This window comes from Homo sapiens, chromosome 3 (genome assembly GCF_000001405.40).
Source record: "Homo sapiens chromosome 3, GRCh38.p14 Primary Assembly".
NCBI classification, from domain to species: domain Eukaryota; kingdom Metazoa; phylum Chordata; class Mammalia; order Primates; family Hominidae; genus Homo; species Homo sapiens.
In genome coordinates, this window is record NC_000003.12 from 28,466,741 (window position 1) to 28,493,992 (window position 27,252).

General features: G+C 34.7%; 1 protein-coding gene across 4 annotated transcripts in view; it reads left to right on the plus strand.

Annotated features, from left to right (window-relative positions):
- Positions 1-27,252, plus strand: part of ZCWPW2 (zinc finger CW-type and PWWP domain containing 2) — a 177,638-nt gene that overhangs the window by 118,020 nt on the left and 32,366 nt on the right. For 2 of the 4 annotated variants that reach the window (NM_001040432.4, NM_001324169.2), the window contains 2 exons: positions 12,074-12,191; positions 25,387-25,433. In NM_001040432.4, the coding sequence (NP_001035522.1) occupies positions 12,074-12,191; positions 25,387-25,433 (165 nt within the window). The remainder of the gene's footprint in view (positions 1-12,073; positions 12,192-25,386; positions 25,434-27,252) is intronic. The other 2 variants (NR_136708.2, NM_001324170.2) reach the window with 1 other exon arrangement.

A 27,252-nucleotide genomic window follows, 5' to 3' on the forward strand; every position in this document is an offset into this window, starting at 1 on the left:
GTGAGCCGAGATTGCACCACTGGACTCCAGCCGGGGTGACGAGCAAGACTCTGTCTCAAAATAAAAATAAAAATAAAAATAAAACATGAGTAAATGGAAAGATATAATCCTCTTCTCTTCTTGATGTGGAAGATTTAATATGGAAGATGTCAGTTCTCCTTAAATTAATTTAAATGCCATCTCAATTAAAAAAAACAATTGAGACTTTTGACAAACTAATTATAAATTTGTTGGAAGGTTGAACAAAAGAGAGAGTTAGGCCTATAAAATATGATAGATATAACAAGATGTCACTAGTTAAGGCAATATGGTACTAATAGTGATTTGACAGATTAATAGAAATATATAGAAATTCCACAAATAAACTCAAAAGTACTTGAAAGTATAGTTAATGGTTCAGGTTGTATTCAAATAAGAAAAGTTGTATTGTTTAATAAATGGGATGGGTACAAATAGTAACCTGCGGAAAAAAATGTCCAAACTAGTTCTACAAGGAAGAAAGACTTACATGAACAAAAAAGAAAACACAAAAGTACTAAAATACAAACTACAAACAGAGGAGAATATTTGTAGTACATAGAGGAAAGGGATATTTAAAAAATATATAAAAATATTATTTTACAGTCAGTAAGAAAAAGACCATTATACGTACTAACACAGGACTTGAATCATCATTCCATATAAAAGAAAATATAAATGGCTTTTAAAAAACAATCACAACCTACTGATTGTAGATCTCTATGGCATTGAGAGAACATAGGCAGTAGCCAGGTAGTGGTTACAGTGGGCCTTGGGTGAGACCCAGTACTGTGCTGGCTTCAGATCTGACTCAGTGCATTCCCAGTGGTGGTGGCCACAAGGGTGCTTGTGTCACCTCACCCCCAGCCCCAGGTGACTCACAGAGAGCAAGACTCTGTTTGTTTGTAAGTAAGTCAAGGAACATGAGTCTCTGCCTGATATTCTAGAGAATTCTTCTAGATCTTATCCAACACTCTATGAGTCTGCAAGAGCCATAGCATTACTAGGCTTACGGGGCTCACTAATGCAGATACAGCTTAGATCACAACACTCAAGCTCTTTTAAATACCTGGAAAGCTTTCCCAAAAACAGCAGGTGCAAACAAACCCATATCGTGAAGACTACAATAAATACCTAACTCTTTAATGCCCAGACACTGATGAACATGCACAAGCATCAAGACCATCCAGGAAAACATGACCTCACCAAACAAAGTAAATAAAGCAACAGGGACTAATCCTGAAGAGATACGTGACCTTTCAGACAGAATTCAAAATAGCTGTTTTGAGGAACTCAAAGAAATTCAAGATAACACAGAGAAGGAATTTCGAATTCTATCAGATTAATTGAAGAAAGAGATTGAAATAATTGAAAAGAATTAAGCAGAAGTTCTGGGTTGAAAAAATGCAATTGACATAGTGAAGAAAGCATCAGAGTCTCAATAGCAGAATTGATCAAGCAGAAGAAAGAATTAATGAGCTTGAAGACAGGCTATTTGAAAATACAAAGAAGAGACAAAAGAGAAAAAAAAAGAACGAAGCACACCTACGATATCTAGAAAATAGCCTCAAGAGGGCAAATCTAACAGTTATTGGCCTTAAAGAGGAAGTAAAGAAAGAGATAGTGGTAGAAAATTTATTTAAAGGGATAATAACAGAGAATTTCCCAAACATAGAGAAAGATATCAGTATCCAAGTATGAGAATATTATAGGATATCAAGCAGAATTAACACAAAGAAGACTACTTCAGGGCATTTAATAATCAAACTTCCAAAGGTCAAGGATAAAGAAAGGATCCTAAAAGCAGCAAGAAAAAAGAAACAAATAACAAACAATGGTACTCCGATATACCTGTCAGCAAACTGTTCAGTGGAAACCTTACAGGCCAGGAGAGAGTGGCATGACATATTTGAAGTGCTGAAGTAGAAAAACTTTTACCCTAGAATAGCATATCTAGCAAAAATATCCTTCAAACATGCAGGAGAAATAAAGATTTTCCCAGACAAACAAAAGCTGAGAGATTTCCTCAACACCAGACCTGTCCTACAAGAAATGATAAAAAGAGTACTTCAATCAGAAAGAAAAGGATCTTCCTGAGCAATACAACATCATCTGAAGATCCAAAACTCACTGGCAATAGAAAGTACACAGAAAAACACAGAATGTTATAACACTGTTAACTGTGTTGTGTAAACTGCTCTTCAGTGGAAAGACTAAAAGATGAACCAATCAAAAATAGTAACTGCAACAACTTTTCAAGACATAGAGAGTAAAATAAGATATAAATAGAAACAATAAAAAGTTAAAAAGAGGGAGGAAGGAGTTAAAGTTCAGAGGTGTTTTCTTTTTGCTTATTAGTTTGTTACATGTAAGAACATGTAAGCAGTGTTGTTATCAGCTTAAAATAATGGGTTATAATATTTACAAGCCTCATGGTAATCACAAATCAAAAAACATACAACAGGTACACAAATTAAAAAGCAATAAATTTAAGTTTGCTACCAGGAAAAATAACCTTCATTAAAAGGAAGAGAAGAAGGAAGGAAAGAAGGAAGACTGTAAAACAACCAGAAAACAAATAACAAAATGGCAGGAGTAAGTCCTTTCTTATCGATAATAACATTGAATGTAAATGGACTGAACTCTCCAATCAAAAGACATAGAGTGGCTGAATGGATATAAAAATAAGGTCCAATGATCCATTGCTTACAAGAAACATACTTCACTTATAAAGACACAGGTAGACTGAAAATAAAAGATGGAAAAAGATATTCCATGCCAGTGGAAACCACAAAAGAGCATGAGTAGATATACTTAATACCAGACAATATAGGTTTCAAGACAAAAACTGTAAGAAGAGACAAAGAAGATTATTATATAATGATAAAGGAGTTCATTCATCAAGAGGATATAACAGTTGTAAATATGTATATATATATGCATGTATATGTGTGTATATATATATGATATATATATGTATATATATATGCACCCAACACTGGAGCACCCAGATATATAAAGCAAATATTATTAAAGCTAAAGAGATAGATAGGTCCCAATACAGTAATAGCTGGAGAATTCAACATCCCACTTTCAGCATTGGATAGATCTTCCAGACAGAAAATCAACAAGGAAACATCAGACTTAGTCTGCACTTTGGAACATATAGACCTAATAGACATTTACAGAACATTTCATCCTATGGCTGCAGAATGCACATTCTTTTCCTCAGCACATGGATGATTCTAAAGATAGACCATATGTTAGGTCACAAAACAAGTCTTAAAACATTCAAAAAAATTGAACGTATGTCAGGTATCTTCTCTTACTACAATGCAATAAAACTAGAAATAAATAACAAGAAGAGTTTTGGAAACTATATAAACACATGGAAATTAAACAGTATGCTCCTGAATAACCAGTGGTTCAATGCAGAAATTAAAAAGGAAATTTAGGCCGGGTGCAGTGGCTCGCGCCTGTAATCCCAGCACTTCGGAAGGCCGAGGCTGGCAGATCATGAAGTCAGGAGACCGAGACCATCCTGGCCAACATGGTAAATAAAACCCCATCTCTATGAAAAATACAAAAATTAGCTGGGTGTGGTGGCGCATGCCGGTAATCCCAGCTATTCGGGAGGCTAAGGCAGAATTGCTTGAACCACTGAGTCAGAGGTTGCAGTGAGCCGAGATCGCGTCACAGCACTCTAGCCTGGTGACAGAGCGAGACTCCGTCTTAAAAAAAAAAAAAAAAAAAAGGAAGGAAATTTAAAAATTCATTGAAACAAATGATAATGGAAACATGACATACCAAAACCTATGAGATACAGTAAACACAGTACTAAAAGGGAAGTTTATAGCCATGAGTGCCTAAATTAAAAAAGAAGAAAAGTTTCAAATAAACAACCTAATGATACATTGTAAAGTACTAAAAAAGCAAGAGCAAACAAAACTCAAACTCAACTGATTTTCTTTTACTCAAATTAGTAGAAAAAAATAAATATTGAAGATGTAGAGATGAGATAAATGAAATAGAAACATAAAATACAAAATATCAACAAAACAATTTTTTTTGAAAAGCTAAAGAAAATTGACAAACCTTTAGCCAGATTAACTAAGAAAAAAAGAGATAAGACCCAATAAATAAAATCAGAGATGAAAAAGGAGACATTACAATCAATACTACAGAAATTCAAAGGCTCATTAGTGGCTACCATGAGCAACTATATGCCAATAAATTGGAAAATCTAGAAGAAATGGATAAATTTCTAGACCGTACAACCTACCAAGATTGCACCACAAAGAAATCCACAACTTGAGCAGACCAATAACAAGTAACAAGATAAAAACTATAATAAAAAGTCTCCCAGCAAAGAAAAACCAAGAACCTGATGGGTTCACTGCTGAATTCTATGAAACGTTTAAAGAATAGCTAATACCAGTTCTACTGAAACTATTCCAAAAAATAGAAGTGGAGGGAATACTTTCAAACTCATTCTATGAGGCCAGTATTACTCTGGTACCAAAACCAGACAAACACACATCAAAAAAGAAAACTACAGGCCAGTATCTCTGATGAATACTGATGCAAAAATCCTCAACAAAATACTAGCAAATATAATTAAACAACACATTAACACGATGATTCATTATGATCAAGTGGGTTTTATCCCAGGGATGCAGGATTGGTTCAGCATACACAAATCAATCAGTGTGGCATATCAAAAGAATGAAGGACAAAAACCATATCATCATCTCAATTGATGCTAAAAATGAATTTGATAAAATTCAGCATCCCTTTATGATAAAAACCTCACAAAACTGGGTATAGAAGGAACATACCTCAATATAATAAAAACCACAGACACACAGCTGGTATGTATCATACTGAATGGGGAAAAACTGAAAGCCGTTTCTTTAAAATACGGAACATGACAAGGATGCCCATTGTTATTCAACATAGTGCCAGCTAGCACAATTAGAGAAGAGAAGGAAATAAAGGGCATCCAAATTGGAAAGGAAGAAGTCAAATTATCCTTGTTTGCAGGTGATATCATCTTATATTTAGAGAAACCTAAAGACTTCACCAAAAAGCTGTTAGAACTAATAATCAAATGCAGGAAAGTTGTAGGATACTAATCAACATACAAACATCAGTGGGATATTTATATGCCAATAGTGGACAATGTGAAAAATAAATAAAACAGTAATACCATTTATATTAGCTGCATATAAAATAAAATACCTAGGAATTATCTCAACCAAAAAAGTGAAAATTTTTTACAATGAAAACTGTAAAACATTGATGCAAGAAATTGGAGGACAGAAAAAAATGGAGACATATTTCATGTTTATGGATTGTAAGAATCAATATTGTTAAAATGTCCATACTACCCAAAGCAATCTACAGATTCAATGCAATCCCTATGAAAATACCAATGACATCCTTCACAGAAATAGAAAAAAAGAGTCCCAATATTTATATGTAACCACAAAAGGCTCAGAATAGCCAAAGCTATCCTAAGCAAAAGGAACAAAACTGAAGAAATCACATTACCTGACTTCAAATTATACTATAGAGCTATAGTAACCAAAATGGTATGGTATTGGCATGAAAGCAGGCACACAGACCAGTGGAACAAATGGAGAATGCAGAAATAAATCCATACATCTACAATGAGCTCATTTTTAACAAAGGTGCCAACAACATACATTAGGAAAAGGACAGTCTACAATAAATGTTGCTGAGAAAACTGGATATCCATATGCAGAAGAAAAACTAGAACCCTATCTCTCGCCATAAATGAAAATCAAATAAAAATGGATTAAAGACTAAAATCTAAGACCTCAAACTATGAAACTACTACAAGAAAACTTTGGGGAAACTCACCAGGACATCAGTCTTGGCAAAAATTCCTTGAGTAATATACCCCACAAGCACAGGCAACCAAAGCAAAAGTGGACAAATTGGATAACATCAAGTTAAAAAACTTCTGCACAACAAAGGAAACAATCAACAAAGTGAAGAGACAACCCACAGAATGGCAGTAAATATTTGCAAACTACCCATTTGACAAGGGACTAATAACCAGAATATATAAGAAGCTCAAACAGTTCTATAGGAAAAAAAAAACAAACTAATAATCTAATAAAAAAATGGGCAAACGATTTGAATAGACATTTCTCAAAAGAAGACATACAAATGACAAACAGGCATATGAAAAGGTGCTCAACATCATTGATCACCAGAGAGGCAAATTAAAACTACAATGAGATATTATTTTACCCCAGTTAAAGTGGCTTATATCCAAAAGACAGGCGATAACAAATGCTGGTGAGGATGTAGAGAAAAGGGGATCCTTGTACAGCGTTGGTGGGAATATAAATTAGTACAACTACTATGGAGAACAGTTTGGAAGTTCATCAAAAACTAAAAGTAGGCTGGGTGCAGTGGCTCATCCCTATAATCCCAGCACTCTGGGAGGCCAAGGTGGTTGTATCACTTGAGGTCAGGAGTTCAAGACCAGCCCGCCCAACATGACAAACTCCATCTCTACTAAAAATACAAAAGTTGACCAGGTGTGATGGCACATGCCTGTAATCCCAGCTACTTGGGAGGCTGAGGCAGGAGAATTGCTTAAACCCGGGAGGCAGAGGCTGCACTGAGCCGAAATCATGCCACTGCACTCCAGCTTGGGTGACAGAGTAACACTTTGTCGCAAAAAAAAAACAAAAAAATAGAGCTACTATATGATCCAGCCATCCCACTCCTATGTATATACCCAAAAGAAAGGAAATCGGTTTATTGAAGAGATAATCTACACTCTAATGTTTATTGTAGCACTGTTCACAGTGGCCAAGATTTGGAAGCAACCTAAGTATCTATCAGTATATGAATGGTTAAACAAAATGTGGAACACACCGTGGAATACTATTCAGCTATGAAGAAGAAGGAGATCCATTCATTTGCAACAACATGGATGGAACTGGAGGTCATTACGTTAAGTGAAATAAGCACAGAAAGATAAACTTTGCATTTTCTCACTTATTTGTGGGAGCTAAAAATTAAAAGAGTTGAACTCATGGATATCAAGAGTACAAGGTTGGTTAACGGGCTGGGAAGGTTAATGGAGTGTCAGGGGGATGTGGAGATGTTTAATGAGTACAAAAAATAGAAAGAATGAATAAGACCTAGTATTTTCTAGCACAAAAGGGTGACTATAGTTAAAAATGATTTAATTTTACATTTAAAAATAACTAAAGAGTATAATTGGATTGTTTGTAACACAAAAGATAAATGCTAGAGGCGTTAGCTACCCCATTTACCCTGATCTAATTATTACACATTACATGCCTGTATCAAGATACCTTATGTAACCCATAAGTATATACACCTACTATGTACCTACAAAAATTAAAAATTAATAAAAGAAAGATTGGCAAAGATGTCAAAACTCGGAACAGAAGTGTTCTGCAAGGTGTGGGGAAATATATTAAATATATTGCTTGTGGCATTGTAAACTTTGACCTCCTCATTCAAAAGTGATTTCACAATAACCTCCAAAATTTAAAATATACATACATTAAACCTGTAATTTTATGTCTTGGAACTTATCTTTCAGTATACTTTCAAGTGGGCAAAATGACATATGGACAAAATGTTTTTATTTCAGCATTGCTTCCAACAGCGTATTAGGAACAACCTAAGTGTCCATCAGTTGAGCATTGTCAAATAAATAGGGGTACATATATGCCACATATGTGGATATACATACATCTGTTTTCTCATTCTTTCAGTTCTCTCATCCATATTTCTTGCCTTTAAATACAGCGTGTGTGTGTGTGTGTGTGTGTGTGTGTGTGTGTGCGCGCGCGCGCGCGCGCACATGCGCATTTGTGTATGTGTATATGTAATTCCTAAAGTTTATCTGCAGGTAAGTTTTCTGTCCTGAATTTTCATATCCAACTGCTACTTGACATCTCCACCTCGATGTCATAATTATCTTCCTCTTGGGTATTGAGAAGTCTCATGTCAGTATGTCTGAACTATTTGTTGTTGTTGTTGTTGTTGTTGTTGTTGTTGTTGTTTGTTTGAGACGGAGTCTCGCTCTGTTGCCAGGCTAGAGTGCAGTGGCAGGATCTCGGCTCACTGCAACCTCCACCTCCCGGGTTCAAGCAATTCTGCTGCCTCAGCTTCCCGAGTAGCTGGGACTACAGGCACATGCTACCACGCCCGGCTAACTTTTTATTATTATTTTTTTTATTTTTTAGTAGAGGCAGGGTTTCACCATGTTGCCTAAGCTGGTCTTGAACTCCTGAGCTCAGGCAACCTGTCCAACTCGGCCTCCTAAAGTGCTAGGATTACAGGCATGAGCCACCGCGCCCGCCCCAAACTCTTGATCTTCCAACAAATCTTTCTTTCTTGACAGACTCTTCATCTCAGTAGAGAGCAAATTCCATCCTTTTGCCCGCTGAGTTTGAAAGTCCTAGAGTAATCCTCCATTTCTCCCAAAACCAGTTTTCAAGTGGTCAGGACGTGCTTTTTGCTCTATCATCAAATTATGTCCAGAATCCTAACACTTTTTACTACAGTAACTGTTACTGCCCTGGTCCACACTGCCATCATTTCTTGCATAAATTATTGCAATAGCCTCCTAATTGTCCTACTTCTATACTTGCCTCTGTATAGCCTTTCCTCATCAAAGCAATGAGAATGATTTCTTTAAAAACAGGAATTCAAATCAAATATTACTTTTATGCTCAGAACTCTGCCATGGTGCCATTTTCACTCAAAGTAGTAGCCAAAGACCCTACAATGGCTTGCAAAGGCCTTGATGATGTGGCCCTTGTTAATTTTCTGAAATCATTTCCTATTACTCTCTCTCTTCATCGTTTAGACTCAGCTACACTGGATTCTTTGATGCTTCTTTAATATACATGTACTCTCCCACATTAGAGGATTTTTTTCTCTGCCTGGAGTATGCTTTCCATGGATTTATATATGGCTAACTTCCTGCCCTCCTTCAGGGAGATCATGGCCTAAATTCACCTTTTTGATGAGAGTTACCTTGACCACTCATTACCCACCCCTCAGCACTCATGATCACCCTGACTTTGCCTTACATTTTATTACAGAGCACTTATCACCTCTTACACTATAGCCTTATGTTTTATGCTTGTTATATATTGTCTCTTCTCATAGGCTACAATGTAAGCTTTGTCTGTTTTCTTCAATGATAGATCCTGAGAGTCTGGAATATGTTGAATCAATAAATTCAATCTGCAAGAAAATTTAAAAAATCAATTATATATAACTATTCCTAACATTCATTATATATTTATATGTTGTAGAAATATATAATATTATATAAATTGTATAGTTCTATAAATATATAATATCTCTGGAAGACTGTAAAAGAAACTAGTAATAGTAATTTTGGGAGAAGTAGTACCTGGGATGGGAAAGAAGGCACATTCTATATTGTGAGAATTTGCACCTTATCCCTTCTTCAATTAAAAAAAAGTAATTTAAAAATGCAAAGCACAGTTGAGCCTAATTTGGAAATTAAAATTCCTCTTAAAATAGATCCTTAGTTTTTTGAGTTCCTTAGGAGGTTTTAATTTGTAGTACCACTAGGTGGCACATGCCTACTGATAAGTTCAAAGACTCCCAGACACAAGTGTTAAAACAAACCTTTTCAGTTCCCCTAAGTCATCAAAGTTTATTTTAGCTATATGGCACTGATTTTTCTCAAGAATTTTCTTTAATTATTTTCTTATACTATTTCTGTAGGGCAGCAGTCTCCAACCTTTTTGGTACCAGGGACCAGTTTCATGGAAGACAATTTTTCCATGGACTGGGGGAAGGAAAGGGGATGGTTTTGGGATGATTCAAGCACATTACATTTATTGTGCACTTTATTTCTATTATTATTACATTGTAATATATAATGAAATAGTTATATAACTCACCATAATGTAGAATCGGTGAAAGCACTGAGCTTGTTTTCCCGCAACTAGAGGGTCCCATCTGGGGGTGATGGGAGACAGTGACAGATCATCAGGCATTAGATTCTTATAAGGAGCACACAACCTAGATCTCTCCCACGTGCAGTTCACAATAGGGTTCATGTTCCTATGAGAGTCTAATGCCACAGCTGACGTGACAGGAGGTGGAGCTCAGGCAGTAATGCTTGTTCATCCCCCACTCACCTCTTGCTGTGCCGCCCAGTTCCTAACCGGTCATGGACTAGTACTGGTCTGACCCCCTGCTTTAGGGAATATTATAGCAACTGTTCCTACACTATTCCTATATACAGAATAGTGTAGGAACTGTTTAGTGCTATAAGCTTTAAAGTGATTTTTCACCATAATTTCTAATTTAATATTATAACATTTGACTTGCAGAAATGTCTAAAATCTGTGAAGGCTAGCTTAGACATCCTTAAAATAATTTAAAATTTCCAATATTTAGTGAATTGTATCTGCCTCTTTTCATCTGTTTCCTATGAAATAACTTACTTAATGAATGAAATTCATAGATTATGTGTCCAAAAGTAGAGTTTTGTTTGATCCTATTGTTTCACTGCTTTTATGTCAAGTTAATCAGTGCCCAGGACCAAATGCAATTTATCAGCCTCTTTCTGAATACTTTGTATAATATACCATGAGGTATAGGCAAATGGGTACTGTGGAGGATGCAAAGATAAAATATTATGTATTGCCTCCATCTTCATGGACCTTTCATTTTATGGGTAGTGATGTCATGAACACAAATAACTGTAATAGAAGTCAGAAAGTAGTAAATCAATAAATGAAAGTATTTATGTGTAGTGGGAGCACAGAGTTGATATTAATTTGGGGACTCTAAGAATATGGTGACATTTGAGAAGAGCTTTAAATATATAGTTTCATTCTCTGAATTAATTCAATATGGGTCTTATATAGATTTACACTTCTGTGTAAAGGGTGAATTATCTTATACATCTGAGAGAAAAATATAATCTTTATAGATAGGTGTTAATTATAGGTTAATAAAATAAATAGCCATATTCCTTTTGCTGGTATTCAAAATGAAAATGATGGCATGCATTTTATAAATATAACATTTAAAAACATTATAAAAATCCTTTTTGCTGAGTTTTAAAATAACACTGAAAACATTATTGGACTAGGTCAATTTAACATTTATTTTTGACCCAGATATTTTTTCATTTTGTTTTTCTTCTTAAAATATATTTTTTGAAAATTAAATATGCATTTAGAAAATGTGCTGTATCCAAGTAAAATAACTTACTGAGTTCTTATTATGCCATGAAACTATAATCTATTATTTTATTTCATACTCATGAAACCTTATGATGTATGTAGTGTTATCATTCACAGTTTTTAGATAAAGAAACTAGGGCACAGAAGGTTTAAGAAATTTGTATGCATATGTTAATATCTGCTGTAACACTAAAACTAGATGTGAATAGAATTTTTTATTTTTTATTATTTTATTTTTTGAGACAGAGTCTTACTCTCTCACCTAGACTGGAGTGCAGTGGCACAATCTCGCATCACTGCAGCATCTGCCTCCCAGGTTCAAGCAGTTCTCCTACCTCAGCCTCCCAAGTAGCTGGGAATTACAGGTGTGAACCACTGCACCCTGCCAAATTAATTTTCTTCTAATAAGAAACTTGATTTTCAATTTGTACCACTTTAGTATAATTGCTATGTTTTTTAAAAGGAAATCAACATTATTCTTATTAAATCTATTAATATTAACTACTTTGTGACGCTGAGGGCCTTTTTGTAAGTTCCTAAGTGTGAGATGAATAACATTATCATGATTATCTTAGTGAACCAAACATCTGACCCTTTGACTATTAACTTGCAAAATTTTCACAATTTTGCCGAATTCTAAAATAATATTAAAATAATAATTAGATACGAAAGTCTAAGAAATACGTTATACAATGCTCCAAATTAGATTTTGTTCCAGCTTAATAAGTGGATTTTAAAACAAAGTTATATATTTAAAAATGAATTTTTTTCTTTTTTCTGTATTTATATAGCCAGAAAAGTGTAAGAATAAAAAGAAGTGGTATAAAAGTGCACTACAAGAAGCATGTCTACTCTATGGATATTCTCATGAGCAAAGACTGGAAATGTGCTGCCTATCAAAACTACAAGGTGTATAAATATTTTTTCTTTATTACTCTGAAATAAGGATTTATTCAAATGCATGTTTTCCAAAATATGTTTGCTCATTCAAAAATCTCTATCTCTTTCTCTTCATAGGGAAATAGTATATCATTGTTTATTTGAAAATTATTTTTATATCAATGAATAGCATATATTTTGTCCCCTAAAACAATTTTCAATGACTAAACATACACTCTTTTTAAATGCAGGAGTTCTTGTTAGCACTTTTGTTATCTATCTTCTTTACCGTTAGACTGTCTACATAGATGCCCTTGTGTATTTCAAAGGCATATATTTCACAATGGGAACCATAGCTTTAAATATATTCCTGGCATTAAAATTTCACTTGGATATGCTGTATTATTACAGAACAAAGTATTTTCAAAATATTGCATTTTGAAATAAGTTCAGGGCAGGAATAGAAGAAAAACTTCAACTTTAAAAAAAAACTAGGTGAAAAATTGTGATAATATTTTAGGTTATTTTCAAAGAAAGTTCTATTGAATTCTCAATACTATGGTATATAGTTAGCTTTTTAAGTGAAACCATTTGAAAGATTATAGTAGGTTTGACATTTTTTGTATATATTTAACTTCTAAGTTCAGGGGTACATGTGCAGGCTTGTTATATAGGTAAACTTGTGTCATGGAGATGTGTTATAAAGATATTTCATAACCCAGGTATTAAGCTTAGTACACATTAGTTATTTTTCCTGATCCTTTTCCTCCTCCCACCTTCCACCCTCTGATAAACCCCAATGTGTGTTGTTCTTCTCTATGTGCCCATGTATTCTTGTCAATTAGCTCCCACTTATAAGGGAGAACATGCAGTATTTGGTTTTGTTCCTGCATTAGTTTGCTAATGCTAATGGCATCCAGCTCCATCCATGTCCCTGCAAAGGACTCATCTCACTCTTTTCTATGGCTGCATAGTATTCCATGGTGTACAGGTACCATATTTTCTTTATTGCAGTGTACAGGTGCCACATTTTCTTTACCACATTTTCTTTATCCACATTTTCTTTATACCATTGATGGGCATTTAGGTTGAGTCATTGTCTTTGCTATTGTGAATAGTGTTGAACATATGTGTGCATGTGTCTTTATAATAGAATGATTTATATTCCTTTGGGTATATACCCAGTAATGAGATTGCTGGGTTGAATGATATTTCTGCCCCTAGGTCTTTGAGCGATCACCACACTGTCTTACACAATGGTTGAACTAATTTACACTCCTACCAACAGTGTATAAGCATTCCTATTTCTCCTCAACCTCACCACCATCTGCTATTTTTTGACTTTTTAATAGCAGCCATTCTGACTAGTGTGAGATAGTATCTCATGGTTTTGATTTGCAGTTCTCTAATGATCAGTGATGTTGAACTATTTTTCATATGTAGGTTGGCTGCATGTATGTCTTCTTTTGAAAATTGTCTGTTTGTGTCCTTTGCCCACTTTTTAATGGTTTTTTTTTTCTTGTGAACTTGTTTAAGTTCCCTATAGATGGTGGATATTAGACCTTTGTCAGATGGTGGATATTAGACCTTTGTCAGATGCATAGATTGCAAAAATTTTCTTCCAGTCAGTAAGTTCTCTGCTCACTCTGTGGATAGTTTCTATTGCTGTGCTCTTTGGTTTAATTAGATCACATTTGTCAATTTTTGCTGTGTTGTAATTGCTTTTGGTGTCTTCATTGTGAAATCTTTGCCCATGCCTATGTCCTGAATGGTATTGCCTGAGTTGTCTTCCAGGGTTTTTATAGTTTTAGGTTTTACATTTAAGTCTTGAATCCATCTTCAGTTAATTTTTGTATATGGTATAAGGAAGTGGGGCAGGGTCCAGTTTCAATTTTCTGCATATGGCTAGCCAGTTCTCCCAGTACCATTTATTAAGTAGGGAATCCTTTCCTCATTTTTTTTCTTTTTTTTTTTTTTTTTTTGAGACAGAGTCTTGCCCTCTTGCCCAGGCTGGAGTGCAATGGCGCGATCTCAGCTCACTGCAAGCTCCACCTCCCAGGTTCAAACAATTCTCCTGTCTCAGCCTCCCGAGTAGTTGGGATTACAGGCACATGCCACCATACCCGGATAATTTTTTGTATCTTTAGTAGAGATGGGGTTTCACCATGTTGGCCAGGCTGGTCTTGAACTTCCCATTGCTTGTTTTTGTCAGATTTATTGAAGATCAGATAGTTGTAGGTATGCGGCGTTATTTCTGAGTTCTTTATTCTGTTCCATTGATCTATGGATATGACACATTTTTAACTCTAAAAAGGAAATGATTGCCACATAAAATGATAACTTTTATTTATTTATTTTTTTAGATGGAGTCTCGCTCTGTTGCCCAGGCTGGAGTGCAGTGGCGCGATCTTGGCTCACCGCAACCTCCGCCTCCTGGGTTCTAGCAATTCTCCTGCCTCAGCCTTCTGAGTAGCTGGGATTACAGGTGCCCGCCACCACGCCCAGCTAATTTTTGTATTTTAGTAGAGACGAGGTTTCACCATATTGGCCAGACTGGTCTCCAACTCCTGACCTCAGGTGATCCACCCACCTCAGCCTCCCAAAGTGCTGGGATCACAGGTGTGAGATAGTTTTTATTAAACTTAAATATGTTTAAATTGTTTTCTGCTTAGTGATTATGATCATTTTATATTTTACAAGCCCCTTTTTGTCTTTATTACTTTAAGTTCTAAACAGATTACTCTATGGATAGAAGGATCCGGACTTTGATGCTGACTGAATTTTCAAGTAGCAATGATTTTTTTTTTCTCCTTTGGAAAACTTTATATTTACAAAAAATGTATATGTGAAAAGATTTTATTTGAGAAAAAATTTAAATTTCAACCCAACCACCTAAGTTTAGGATTTAAAGCAAATAAGTAGGTTTGAAAAGAGTGGAAAATGAATGACAAGTTCACAGAAGATTGAGTGGAAAGTACAGAGAGTTCCCATATATCTCCTCCTCACAATCCCTAAACACACAACCTCCCCGACTGTCAACATCCCATACCATGACATCTATTTGTTACAATTCATGAACCTACACTGACACGTCATTGTCACCCAAAGTCCTTAGTTTACATTAGGGTTTACTCTTGCTGTTATGCATTCTGTGTGTCTGGAGAAATGTATAATGACCTGTATCCACCATTATAGTATCATATAGAGTAGTTTCACTGCTCTAAAAATCCTTTGTGTTCCAGCTGTTTGTTTCTACCTCCCCCTTATTCCCTGGCAACTACTGATTTTTGTTATCTGTCTCCATAGTTTTGGCTTTTCCAGAATGTCATATGGTTAGAATCATATGATATGTCACCCTTTCAGATTGGTTTCTTTCTCTTAGTAATATGCATTTAAGTTTCTTCCGTGTATTTGCATGGCTTGATAGATCTTTTTTAAATTAGTGCTGAATAATACCCATTGTCTGTATGTGCCGTGATTTTTTAAAATCATTCACCTATGAAAGGACATCTTGGTTGCTTTTAAATTTTGGCAACTATGAATAAAGCTGCTGTAAACATATATGTGCAGGTTTTTGTCTGGACAGATGTTTTCAACTTCTTTTGATAAATACCAAGGAACACAATTGCTGATCATATGGTGAGATATGTTCAAATTTTAAAGAAACTACCAAACTGTCTTCCAAAATGACTGCACCATTTTGCATTCCCACCAGCAATGAATGAGAGTTCCTGTTGCTCCACATCCTCATCAATATTTGGTGGTGTCAGTGTTTTGGGTTTTGGCCACTCTAGTAGGTGTGTAGTGGCACCTCATAAGTGTTTTAATTTACAATTTCCTAATGACATATGATGTTGAACATCCTTTCATATACTTATTTGCCACCTTTCTATCTTCTTTGGTGAGTTGTTTTCTGAGATATTTTGCTCATTTTTCAATCGGATTGTTCATTTTTTTGCTGCAGAGGTTTTAAGAGTTCTTTGTATATTTTAGATGTCGCTCTTTTATAGGTCTTCTGCAAATACTTGCTCCCAATATGTGGCTTATCTTTTCTATTCTCTTGACAGAATCTTTGGCAGAGCAGACATTTTAAATTTTAATGAAGTCTAGTTTATCAATTATTTCTTTCATGGACCTTGCCTTTGGTGTTGTATCTAAATGTTATTGCCATACATGAGGTCATCTAGGTTTTCTCTTTTATCTTCTAGGAGTTTTATAATTTTGCATTTCGCCCTATGATTCATTGTGAGTTCCTTTTTGTGAAAGGTGTAAGATCAGTGTCTAAATTTACTTTTTGTGTGTGTGGATGTCCAGTTGTTCCTGCACCACTGGTTGAAAAGACTGTCTACTCCATTGTATCACCTTTGCTCCTTTATCAATTATCTATTGACTATATTTATGTGGGTCTATTTCTGGGTTCTTTATTCTGTTCTGTTGATCTATTTGTCTGTTCTTTTGCCAATACCACACTGTATTGATTACTGCAGTTTCATAGTAAGTCTTCAAGTTGGGTAGTGTCAGTTCTCCAGCATTGTTCTTCTCCTTCCATATTGGGTTGGCTATTCTGGGTCTTTGCCTTTCCATAAAAATTTTAGAATCAGTTTGTTGATTTCACAAAATAACTTGCTAGCATTTTTATTGGGATTATATTGAATTTATATATCAAGTTGGGAAGAACTGACATCTTGACCATATTGAGTCTTCTTATCCATGAATGTGGAATATCTTCAAGTTTATTTAGTTCTTTTTTGATTTATTTTATCAGAGTTTGGTAGTTTTTCTCATTTAGATCTTGTATTTCTTTTTAGATTTATGCTTGACTAATTCACTTTGAGGTTTGCCAATGTAAATTCTAATGTGTTTTCATTTCAAATTCTACTTGTTTGGTACTAGTATGTCAGAAATCTATTTATTTTTGGATATTAACCTTGTATCCTGCAACCTTGCTATAATCTATTATTAATTACAGGGTTTTTTTGGTCTATTCTTTTGGATTTACTACATAGACAATCATATCATGTGCAGCGAGAGTTTTATTTCTTCTTTCCAAATGTGTATATCTTTTATTTTCATTTATTGTCTTACTGCGTTATCTAGGCATTCCAGTACAATATTGAGAAGAGTGGTGAGGGAGAAAACCCTTGACTTGTTCTTCATCTTAGCATGACAGCTTCTAGTTTGTTACCATTAAATATGATACTAGCTTTAGATATTTTGTAAATGCTCTTTATGAAGCTGAGGAAGTTCCCGTCCTCCTTGTTTCCTGAGGTTTTTTTTTTTCATACGCTTTTCTGTGATCTGCTTACATGGTCATGTGATTTTTCTTCTTTATGCTGTTGATGTGATTAATTGATTACATTAATTGGTTTCCAATTTTTGAACTACCTTGCATTGAATGAGTTAGGAAGTACTTTCTCTGCTTATATCTTCTGGAAAAGGTTACGGAGAATTGGCATAATTTCTTCCTATATGTTTGATAGCATTCACCAGTGAACCCATCTGGGCTTGCTGCTTTTTGTTTGGGAAGGTTATTATATTGATTCAATTTCTTTAATAATTGTAGGCCTATTCAGATTGCCTGTTTCTTTTTGCGAAAATTTTAGCAGAGTGTCTCTTTCAAGAAATTGATCCATTTCATCTAGGTTATAAAATTTGTGGGCATAGAGTTGTTCATAATGTTCCTTTATTTTCTTTTAATGTCCATGGGATTTGTTATAATGTCTACCTCTTTCATTTCTAATATTAGTAATTTGTGCCTGCCTGCCTCTCTCCCTTTCCTCCTTCCTTCCTGTCTCCCTCCCTCCCTTCTTCCCTTCCTTTCTTCCTTCTTTCCTTCCTTCCTGCCTGCCTTCCTGCCTGCCTTCCTGTCTTCCTTCTGTCCTGTCTTCCTTCCTTCTTGCCTGCCTGCCTGCCTTCCTCTCTAGAGTCTCAATTTTACTGATCTTTCAAAGAGCTAGCTTATGGTTGTATTGATTTTTCTCTGTCTACTGTCTTCAATTTCATTGATTTCTGCTCTTTTATTTTTTTTCTTCTGCTTACTTTGGATTTAGCCTGTTCTTTTTCTTCTAGTTTCCAAAGTAAAAGCTTAGATTATTGATTTTAGAGCTTTTTTCTTTTCTAATAGATGAATTCAATGCTATAAATTTTCCTCTGAACATTGCTTTTGCTGCATCCCATGATTGATAAGTTGCACTTTCATTTTCATTGAGTTCAAAATATTTTAAAATTTTTCTTGAGTTTTTTTTTTTTCTTTGATCTATGTGTTACTTAGAAGTGTGTTCCTTAATCTCCAAGTATTTTGGATTTCCACCTATCTCTCTGTTACCAGTTTCTGGCTTAATTCCATTTTGGTCTGTGAGAGGACATTGTATTATATCTATTCTTTTAAATGTGTTAAGGTATTTTTTATGGCCCAGGATGTGGTCTTTTTTTCTGAGTGTTTCATGTGGGCATAAGAAGGATGTGTATTCTGCTGTTGTTGGATGAAGTAGATTACAGATGTCAAATATATCCAGTTGATTGATGGTGCTTTTGAGTGCAACTGTGTCTTTTTGCTGGATTTGTTCATTTCTGATAGAGGGCTGTTGAAGCCTCTAGCTATAATAGTAGATTTATTTATTTCTCTCTGCAGTTCCATCAGTTTTTGCCTCTCATATTTTGATGCTCTGTTGTTAGGTGCATGTACATTAAAGGTTGCAAGTCTTCTTGGAGTATTGACCTCTTTATTATTATGTATGACCCTCTTTATTCTTGATAACTAAACTTGCTCTGAAGTCTGCTCTGTTTCAAATTAATATAACTCCTCCTACTTCCTTTTCATTAGGGTTAGCATGATATATTTTTTCTTTTAATTCATCCATCTGGGCCATTAATGTTTAAAATGATTATTTTTAATATCATGGATTAATAGTTGTCATATTTGTTATTATTTTCTATTTATTGCCCTTTTTCTTTGTTACTGTTTTTGTCTTTCACTCTTTTTCTGTCTTTGTGATTTTTAGATTTTATATAATTCCATTTTCTTCCCTCTTGACATATCAATTATCAATTATACTTTTTTAAAACTTTTTAAAGTGGTGCCCTTTTTCTTTGTTACTGTTTTTGTCTTTCACTCTTTTTCTGTCTTTGTGATTTTGAGATTTTAAATAATTCCATTTTCTTCCCTCTTAGCATACCAATTATCAGTTATACTTTTTTAAAAACTTTTTGGTGGTTGCCCTAGAGTTTGCAATGTACATTTACAACTAATTCAAATCCCACTTACAAATAATTATCCTGTTTCAGGAATAGTACAAATATCTTATAATGACAGACTATGCCTTCTCATCCCTGGTATCATTGCTATCATTCATTTTACTTATATATAAGCATATATGCACACACACACATAAGATGTATGCATAAGTATACATAATTAAGTGTATCATGATTATTTTAAACAAACATCTATTAGATCAATTAAGAATAAGAAAAGTAAAAAGTTTTTACTTTACCTTTACTTATTCAGTTTTCAGTGCTCTTGTTGTCTTTGTGTAGATCTGAATTTCTAACCTATATTATTTTTCTTCTCTTGGAAGAACTTCTTTTAGTGTTTCTTGGAAGGTAGTTCTATTGGCAACAAATGCCTCCATTTCTTTTTCTTTGCCTGGGAAAGTCTTTATTTCTCCTTCACTTTTGAAAAATAGTTTCACAGGCCATGCACTGTGGCTCAGGCCTGCAATCCCAGCACTTTGGGAGGCTGAGACAAGAGGATCACTTGAGCCCAGAGTTGGAGACCAGCCTGGGCAACACGGTGAGATTCCGTCTCTATAAAAAATTCAAAAATTAGCCAGGTATTCATCTGTAGTCCCAGCTATGCAGGAGACTGAGTGGGAGGATCGCTTGAGCCTGGGAGGTCGAGGCTGCAGTGAGCCATGATTGTGCTACTGCACTCTGACCTGAGTACAGAGTGAGACCCTATTTCAAAAGAAAAAAAAAAAAGGTAATTTCAGAGTGTAGATTTCTAGGTGGCTGTGTTATTTTGTCAACACTTTATTTTGTTCAACTCTTTTATCGATTGCATGGTTTTTGAGGAAAAGTTGGATGTAATTTTTATCTTTTCTATTGGTAAGTTTTTTTTTCTCTGACTTCTTTCAAGATTTTATTTTTAATCTTTTATTTTCTGAAGTTTGAATATGATATGTAGATTTTTGGCATTTATATTACTTAGTGTTTCCTGAGCTTCTGGATATATGGTTTGGCATCTGATATTAATTTGGGGGAAATTATCAGTTATTATTGTGTCAAATTTTTTTTTGTTCCTGCATCTCTTTTCATTCTGGTATGCCTATTACATGTATGTCACACTTTTCTAGTTGTCCCACAGTTCTTGTATATTCTGTTATATTATTTTTTTCAGTCTTTTCTCTTTTTCAGTTTTTTAGTTTTGGTGGTTTTTATTGATATATCCTGAAGCTCAAAGATTGTTTTCTCAGCCATGTCGAGTCTACTGATGAGCGCATAAAACACATTCTTCATTTATGTTGCATTACTTTTGCTCTCAACCATTTCTTGTGAATCTTTCTTAGAATTTTCATTTCTTTGCTTACGTTACCTATCTGTTATTGCATATTGTCTACTTTTAACACTGTAGCTTTTAGCATATTAGTCATGGTTGTTTTAAATTCATGAGCTGATAATCCCATCATCTCTGCCATATCTTGATCTGGTCCTGCTGCTTGCTCTGTCTCTTCAAATTTTCTTTTTTGCCTTTTAGTATGCTTATAAATTTTTATTGAAAGGTGGGCATGATGTTCTGGGTAAAATAACTGCAATCATGATAGTTTAGCAGTGCAGTGGTAAGACATGAGGGGGAGGGAAAGCATTCTATGTTCCTATGATAAAGTCTCAGTCCTAGGCTGTAAACTTCATAAGGGCTTTCCTCCAACCCCCCTTTTTTTTCTTCACCTACATAGATAGTAAAGGATGGCTAGACGGGGCTGGAGTTGAGTATTTTGCTTCCCCCAGGTCAGGCTGGGGTTAGGCTTTGAAAATCCCTCAATAGGTTAGGCTCTGGTAAAATAGTTTCTCCTCAGGGCAGGCCTTGCTAAGAAGTACAGAATGGTCTGACATATTATTTCAAAATGGTTACTTTTCTCCTCCCCCTGATGGAAGCCAGGAGATATTTCCCTAATCTTCTCTGTGAGAACCTGGTAGAGCTCCTACACGTAAAACTCAATAAAAGGGTGTCCCTCCCACCATGACTAGGTCCCCCTGGAGTTTTTGTCTCAGGCTTGTTCCCACAGAGCTTCTAGCAATTTGTCAATTAAAGTTCAGGTTTTCCTACCCCTATACTAGTTTCCACCCTGCTCAGGTTGGTTGTGATTCTCTGTATTTACCTGTCTTTTTCTCCAAATTTGGGGACATCAGTTTGCCCTGTGACCCCACTTCTCCAAAGGATCTAAGAAGAGTTGTTCATTTTTCGTTTTGCTCACCTTTGTACATGTTGTTGGACTCTAGTGGGGACTTCTAATTTCCTTACATGCCAGACCAGAAACTGGACTGTCCTCTATGTTTTTACGAAAATGCTCTCAGCTATCACATTTAAACAAACAAAAACTGACAATTTTTTGAGTCCATGAATACACAAGGTTTAAAAAAATTATTGAAATAAGATAAATCATTGAATTATGTTAATATTTGTATTTCTCCCTAATATGGTTGTAAGTAAAAAATCAATAACATCTGTTCTGGGTCATGAGTCAAAACCACCTCTACTCATTTAGAACATTTTCATTTACTACCTGCAGCTCCTCTTTTGCACTTTAAAAATATGACTTGGATATAGCTCAAAGGAGGAGTGAAGGCCCTTTTCATTATCCACATCTACATTTCCTGTTAACTGCTTTTCACTCTTTATGATGAGAGTCCCTACATGCAGAGATTTCTGAAGGAAGGAAATTAAATCTTTCTCACAAGAGAAAATTTAGCTTTTAGAAAGTTGTTAATTTTTGCTAAAGTTGAACATAGACCTACTGTTATTATTAGTAAAGAAATTACTACTGATCATAATGTTTTAAGTATTACATAAGAATTTTCCTTTGGCATTTGAAAATCAACGTGGTTGTTGATATTCCCCAAGATACTCTACTTTTATTGGAAGATGGTTTTTATAGCTTTTGAACACAAAAAGCTCCTTGAACAACAGTTCACATATTTCTGTTCCCAATTTATTGCCTTGTTAGAAAATTTACATAAGAATGAGGTATATTTTGACAGGAAACATAGCAAACATCCATTTTGGTTAACTCTCTCTATACCATCCAGATACATAGACTCCAATTTTAGTTTTTGAGTTTCTTTTTGTTTAATTTTAACTATTTTTAATGATTGATATTTCATTATGACTTTTATCCTTATTAGAGGTTTTCAAAAGAACAAAGAGTAAATTTACTTTTTTTTAAAGATACAACAAAACTTATTCCATCTTGTAATTACCATAAGGTTCTACTGGGCCCTTTACACATGATTAATCCCAAAATATACTATGAGATTTTAGTGATCTTATTTTTTCCCATTTCTTGAAACACGCTGATATTTTATTATTACTCATCAATTATTTCCAACTATGTTAAAAAGATGAAAATAATTATTTAGATAGAAGAATGGTGGAGTCACCTAAAAAGATGATACAATAGTGAAATATATAATCACTAAAGTGTTTTTCCTAGTATTCCAAAGATCAAGATCTCTCTCTTTCTTTCTCTCTCTTTCACACACACACGCGCGCACACACACACACACACACACACACACACACACACACCCCATGTCTACTAGCTAAAATGGAAGTGAATATTTGTTGATTATCTGTTATCTTCAGACATTGTTTTAGGAGTTTTAATTAAGTAGATTATATTATTTAAATCTCACAATATTCTAGTGAGGTAATCATTTTTACTCCTGGACCTAATTAAATGAAAGAGCTTTTGTACAACAAAGGAAACTATCAACAGAGTAAATAGCCTACAGAATGGGAGAAAATATTCGCAAACTCTGCATCTGAAAAAGGTCTGATGTCCAGCATTTATAATAAGCAAAAAATAACCCCATTAAAAAGTGGGAAAAGGACATGAACAGACACTTTTCAAAAGAAAACATATATGTGGCTAATGAGCATATGAAAAAATGCTCAACATCACTGGCCATTAGAGAAATGCAAATCAAAACCATAATGAGATACTATCTCACACCAGTCAGAATGGTTATTAATAAAAAGTCAAAAAATAACAAATACTGGCGAGGTTGCAGAGAAAAGGGAATGCTATATACTACTTGTGGTAGTGTAATTTAGTTCAGTGACTGTGTAAAGCAGTTTGGCAATTTTTCAAAGAACTTAAAACAGAACCATCATTTGACCCAGCAATCCCATTTTTGGGATCTATACCCAAAGAAATATAAATCATTCTACCATGAAGATACATGCACACATATGTTCATTGCAGCACTATTTTCAATAGCAAAGACATGGAATTAACTTAGATGCCCATCAATTGTAGACTGGATAAAGAAAATATGGTACATATTCACTATGGAATACTATGTAGTCATGTAAAAGAACAAAATAATGTCCTTTCAGCAACATGTTTGGGACTGGAGGCCGTTATCCTAAGCAAGATAATGTAGGAACAGACAATCAAGTGCTGCATGTTGTCACTTATAAGTGAGAACTAAACATTGAGTACATGTGGTCACAAAGAAGGAAACAATAGGCACTGGGGCCTACGTGAGGGTGGAGGGTGGAAAGAGGGTGAGGATTGAAAAACTACCTATCGGGTACTATGCTATATAGCAAACCTGTACATGTACCCCTGAAACTAAAAGTTTAAGAAAAATAATTATTACCCCTGGTTTATCAATAAAGAGAGTCTAAGAGCATATACATTGTTTTATATCTTATACTGTCTAATATAGTAGCCGATACCAAGTAAATGATCAGTTTATTTTAATTAATAAATTACATTAATTTTTTAAGGTAAAATGTATATTTCAGATTCATATGAGATTTTGGATGAAATACATATACATTTTTAATTATAAGTATTATTGAACACTTACTGCATATAAAATGTGGTCCCTGCTTTTGAGGAATATTTTAGTTTCACAGAATACTTAGACATGTTCATAACTAACCATAATACAAGGAAGAAAGTTTCATGGCTTTATATGACTATGATTTTGCAAAAGAGGTGGAGTTTTATCCTAATCAGAGGAATATCTGTAGTAGCACCTAACCTTATACATTCATTAGTGGAGAGAAAGGGTGTTCCAGAAAGAGGGATCATCTTAAATATACAGCTGGATATAGGAAAGAGGATAGTTTACATGTAACCACCAGGTTGTAGGCATGAATATAGTAACCTGTTCCTCTGAGTTTCTATATTTTATGACAACAGTTGTAACCAATAGATACATATACACACATACATACTTTAGCACATCTCAAAATAATATCCTGGGATAGTTTTTTATGAACTATTTCATTACTAATTATTCTGTTTTTAGGAGTGGTATAATGAGAAAATGTACTAAATTTAGGAGTGGCATAATGAGAAAATGTACTAGTAGTTTCCATTCTTGCTGAATCTTTCTCTGAGGCACTGTTGGCAGCTCAGTGGTCCCAAATGGAGACGGCAGACATTCTGGAAAAATTAGAGGCTTGCGATCAGATGGTTCTGGCCAAGCTGCATGACCTCAGGCAGGGTACATTATTTATCTCAGCTGTGAAGTGAGGAGGGACTGCGTACTTTACAAGGTTATAATGAGAATTAAATAAGATATCTATATAAAGTCCTTGTCCCATGTCCAGCATATAATAGATAGATATGAAAATGGAGGCAGCTGGGATTCAGTTCTAGATCCTATATACTCCAGAGCACACAAGCTCCCCAGAACCTAGAAATAAGATATACTAGACACCAACTTGAGGACATCCAACTAGCCAACTTTAAGAGAGGAGATCTGCCAAATAAGTATAAAAATGTTCATATTATTACTTTTGGATTGCATTGCTCTACTAAACAATGGACAGCTCAGTTTACTAGCATATTAATTAAAGGGACAACGGGAACAAAATACTGTTACAATAGTAATGAGAAAGTAGAAAATTCTAATTGTGTAATTCAGTATTTATTTGAACAGGAACATAGGCACTTTTTTGAAGCAGCCATGTTTCATTGTCTTACAGATAAATCCGAAACACATGACAAAGTTGCTGCACTGGTCAAGAAAAGGGTAAGATTGTGTTTTATTATATAAAATATACAAACTTCAAATTTCATTTAACACTATTCTTTAAAGAAAATTATATTATTTAAAAACAAACAATGACATACAATCCATTTTTTCTTCTGAATGTTACTTTAGTATATGTTTCCTTTCTTAGGTTAATACTAGGAAATTAATATTTATGGTTACTTATATTAATGTTATCGGACTGTCAGAAATTAGAACAATAGAGAACTATAAGTAAACAAGTAAATGAGTGTTTTTACTTAAATTATATTTCATATACATACTCATATACTAAAATATTTTCATATACTATATTACTCTAATGTGTATACACAATCTCATAGAAAATTTAAGTAGAATTTACAGCTCAACATGGTGTCTACCTTAAACTTAAGTAGAGAACAATATCAGCCATCTTAATGAATTTTCTGAACCTGGAATTTTGTAAATGAAAATTGTCAACAGCATTTTTAAAGAATTATTACAATTTAATACATTATTTTGAATATTGCATTCAGAGAGTTGTTTAACTCTACTTACTGGCAAAAACTTGGTTGGGATAGGATGAACCTTGACATTCTCCTCAAGAGATGATGTTCTTACCACTAAACAAAGAGAAAGAGTTGGTGCCTAAAACAAATACTTGTGGACATATACTAGTGCCACAATAAAAGGAATTATGATAGAATGAAAAGCCTATGGTGAGATTTCCCGTGTTGAGTGGTGAGGCAGAGCAGATCAAGGGAAGGTCAAGTGTAACCTCAAGGAACAGAAAAGGGTGTTGGGCATGTATCTATAGATGATTAGGCAAAGGATGAGCATCATGTTTGTATTCTTTGTACATTTTATGAGTCCTTCTAAAATCAGGTTTTGTTTTATCTTTTTGCTTTTTGGCTTATAAATATAGGAATCTTGGCTTTTCTTTTTTTTTTTTTTCTGGTTTATCTTTATTTTTTTTTATTTTATTTTTTTTAATGTTTTTTTTTTTATTATACTTTAAGTTTTAGGGTACATGTGCACATTGTGCAGGTTAGTTACATATGTATACATGTGCCATGCTGGTGCGCTGCAGCCACTAACGTGTCATCTAGCATTAGGTATATCTCCCAATGCTATCCCTCCCCCCTCCCCCGACCCCACCACAGTCCCCAGAGTGTGATATTCCCCTTCCTGTGTCCATGTGATCTCATTGTTCAATTCCCACCTATGAGTGAGAATATGCGGTGTTTGGTTTTTTGTTCTTGTGATAGTTTACTGAGAATGATGGTTTCCAATTTCATCCATGTCCCTACAAAGGACATGAACTCATCATTTTTTATGGCTGCATAGTATTCCATGGTGTATATGTGCCACATTTTCTTAATCCAGCCTATCATCGTTGGACATTTGGGTTGGTTCCAAGTCTTTGCTATTGTGAATAATGCCGCAATAAACATACGTGTGCATGTGTCTTTATAGCAGCATGATTTATAGTCATTTGGGTATATACCCAGTAATGGGATGGCTGGGTCAAATGGTATTTCTAGTTCTAGATCCCTGAGGAATCGCCACACTGACTTCCACAATGGTTGAACTAGTTTACAGTCCCACCAACAGTGTAAAAGTGTTCCTATTTCTCCACATCCTCTCCAGCACCTGTTGTTTCCTGACTTTTTAATGATTGCCATTCTAACTGGTGTGAGATGATATCTCATAGTGGTTTTGATTTGCATTTCTCTGATGGCCAGTGATGATGAGCATTTTTTCATGTGTTTTTTGGCTGCATAAATGTCTTCTTTTGAGAAGTGTCTGTTCATGTCCTTCGCCCACTTTTTGATGG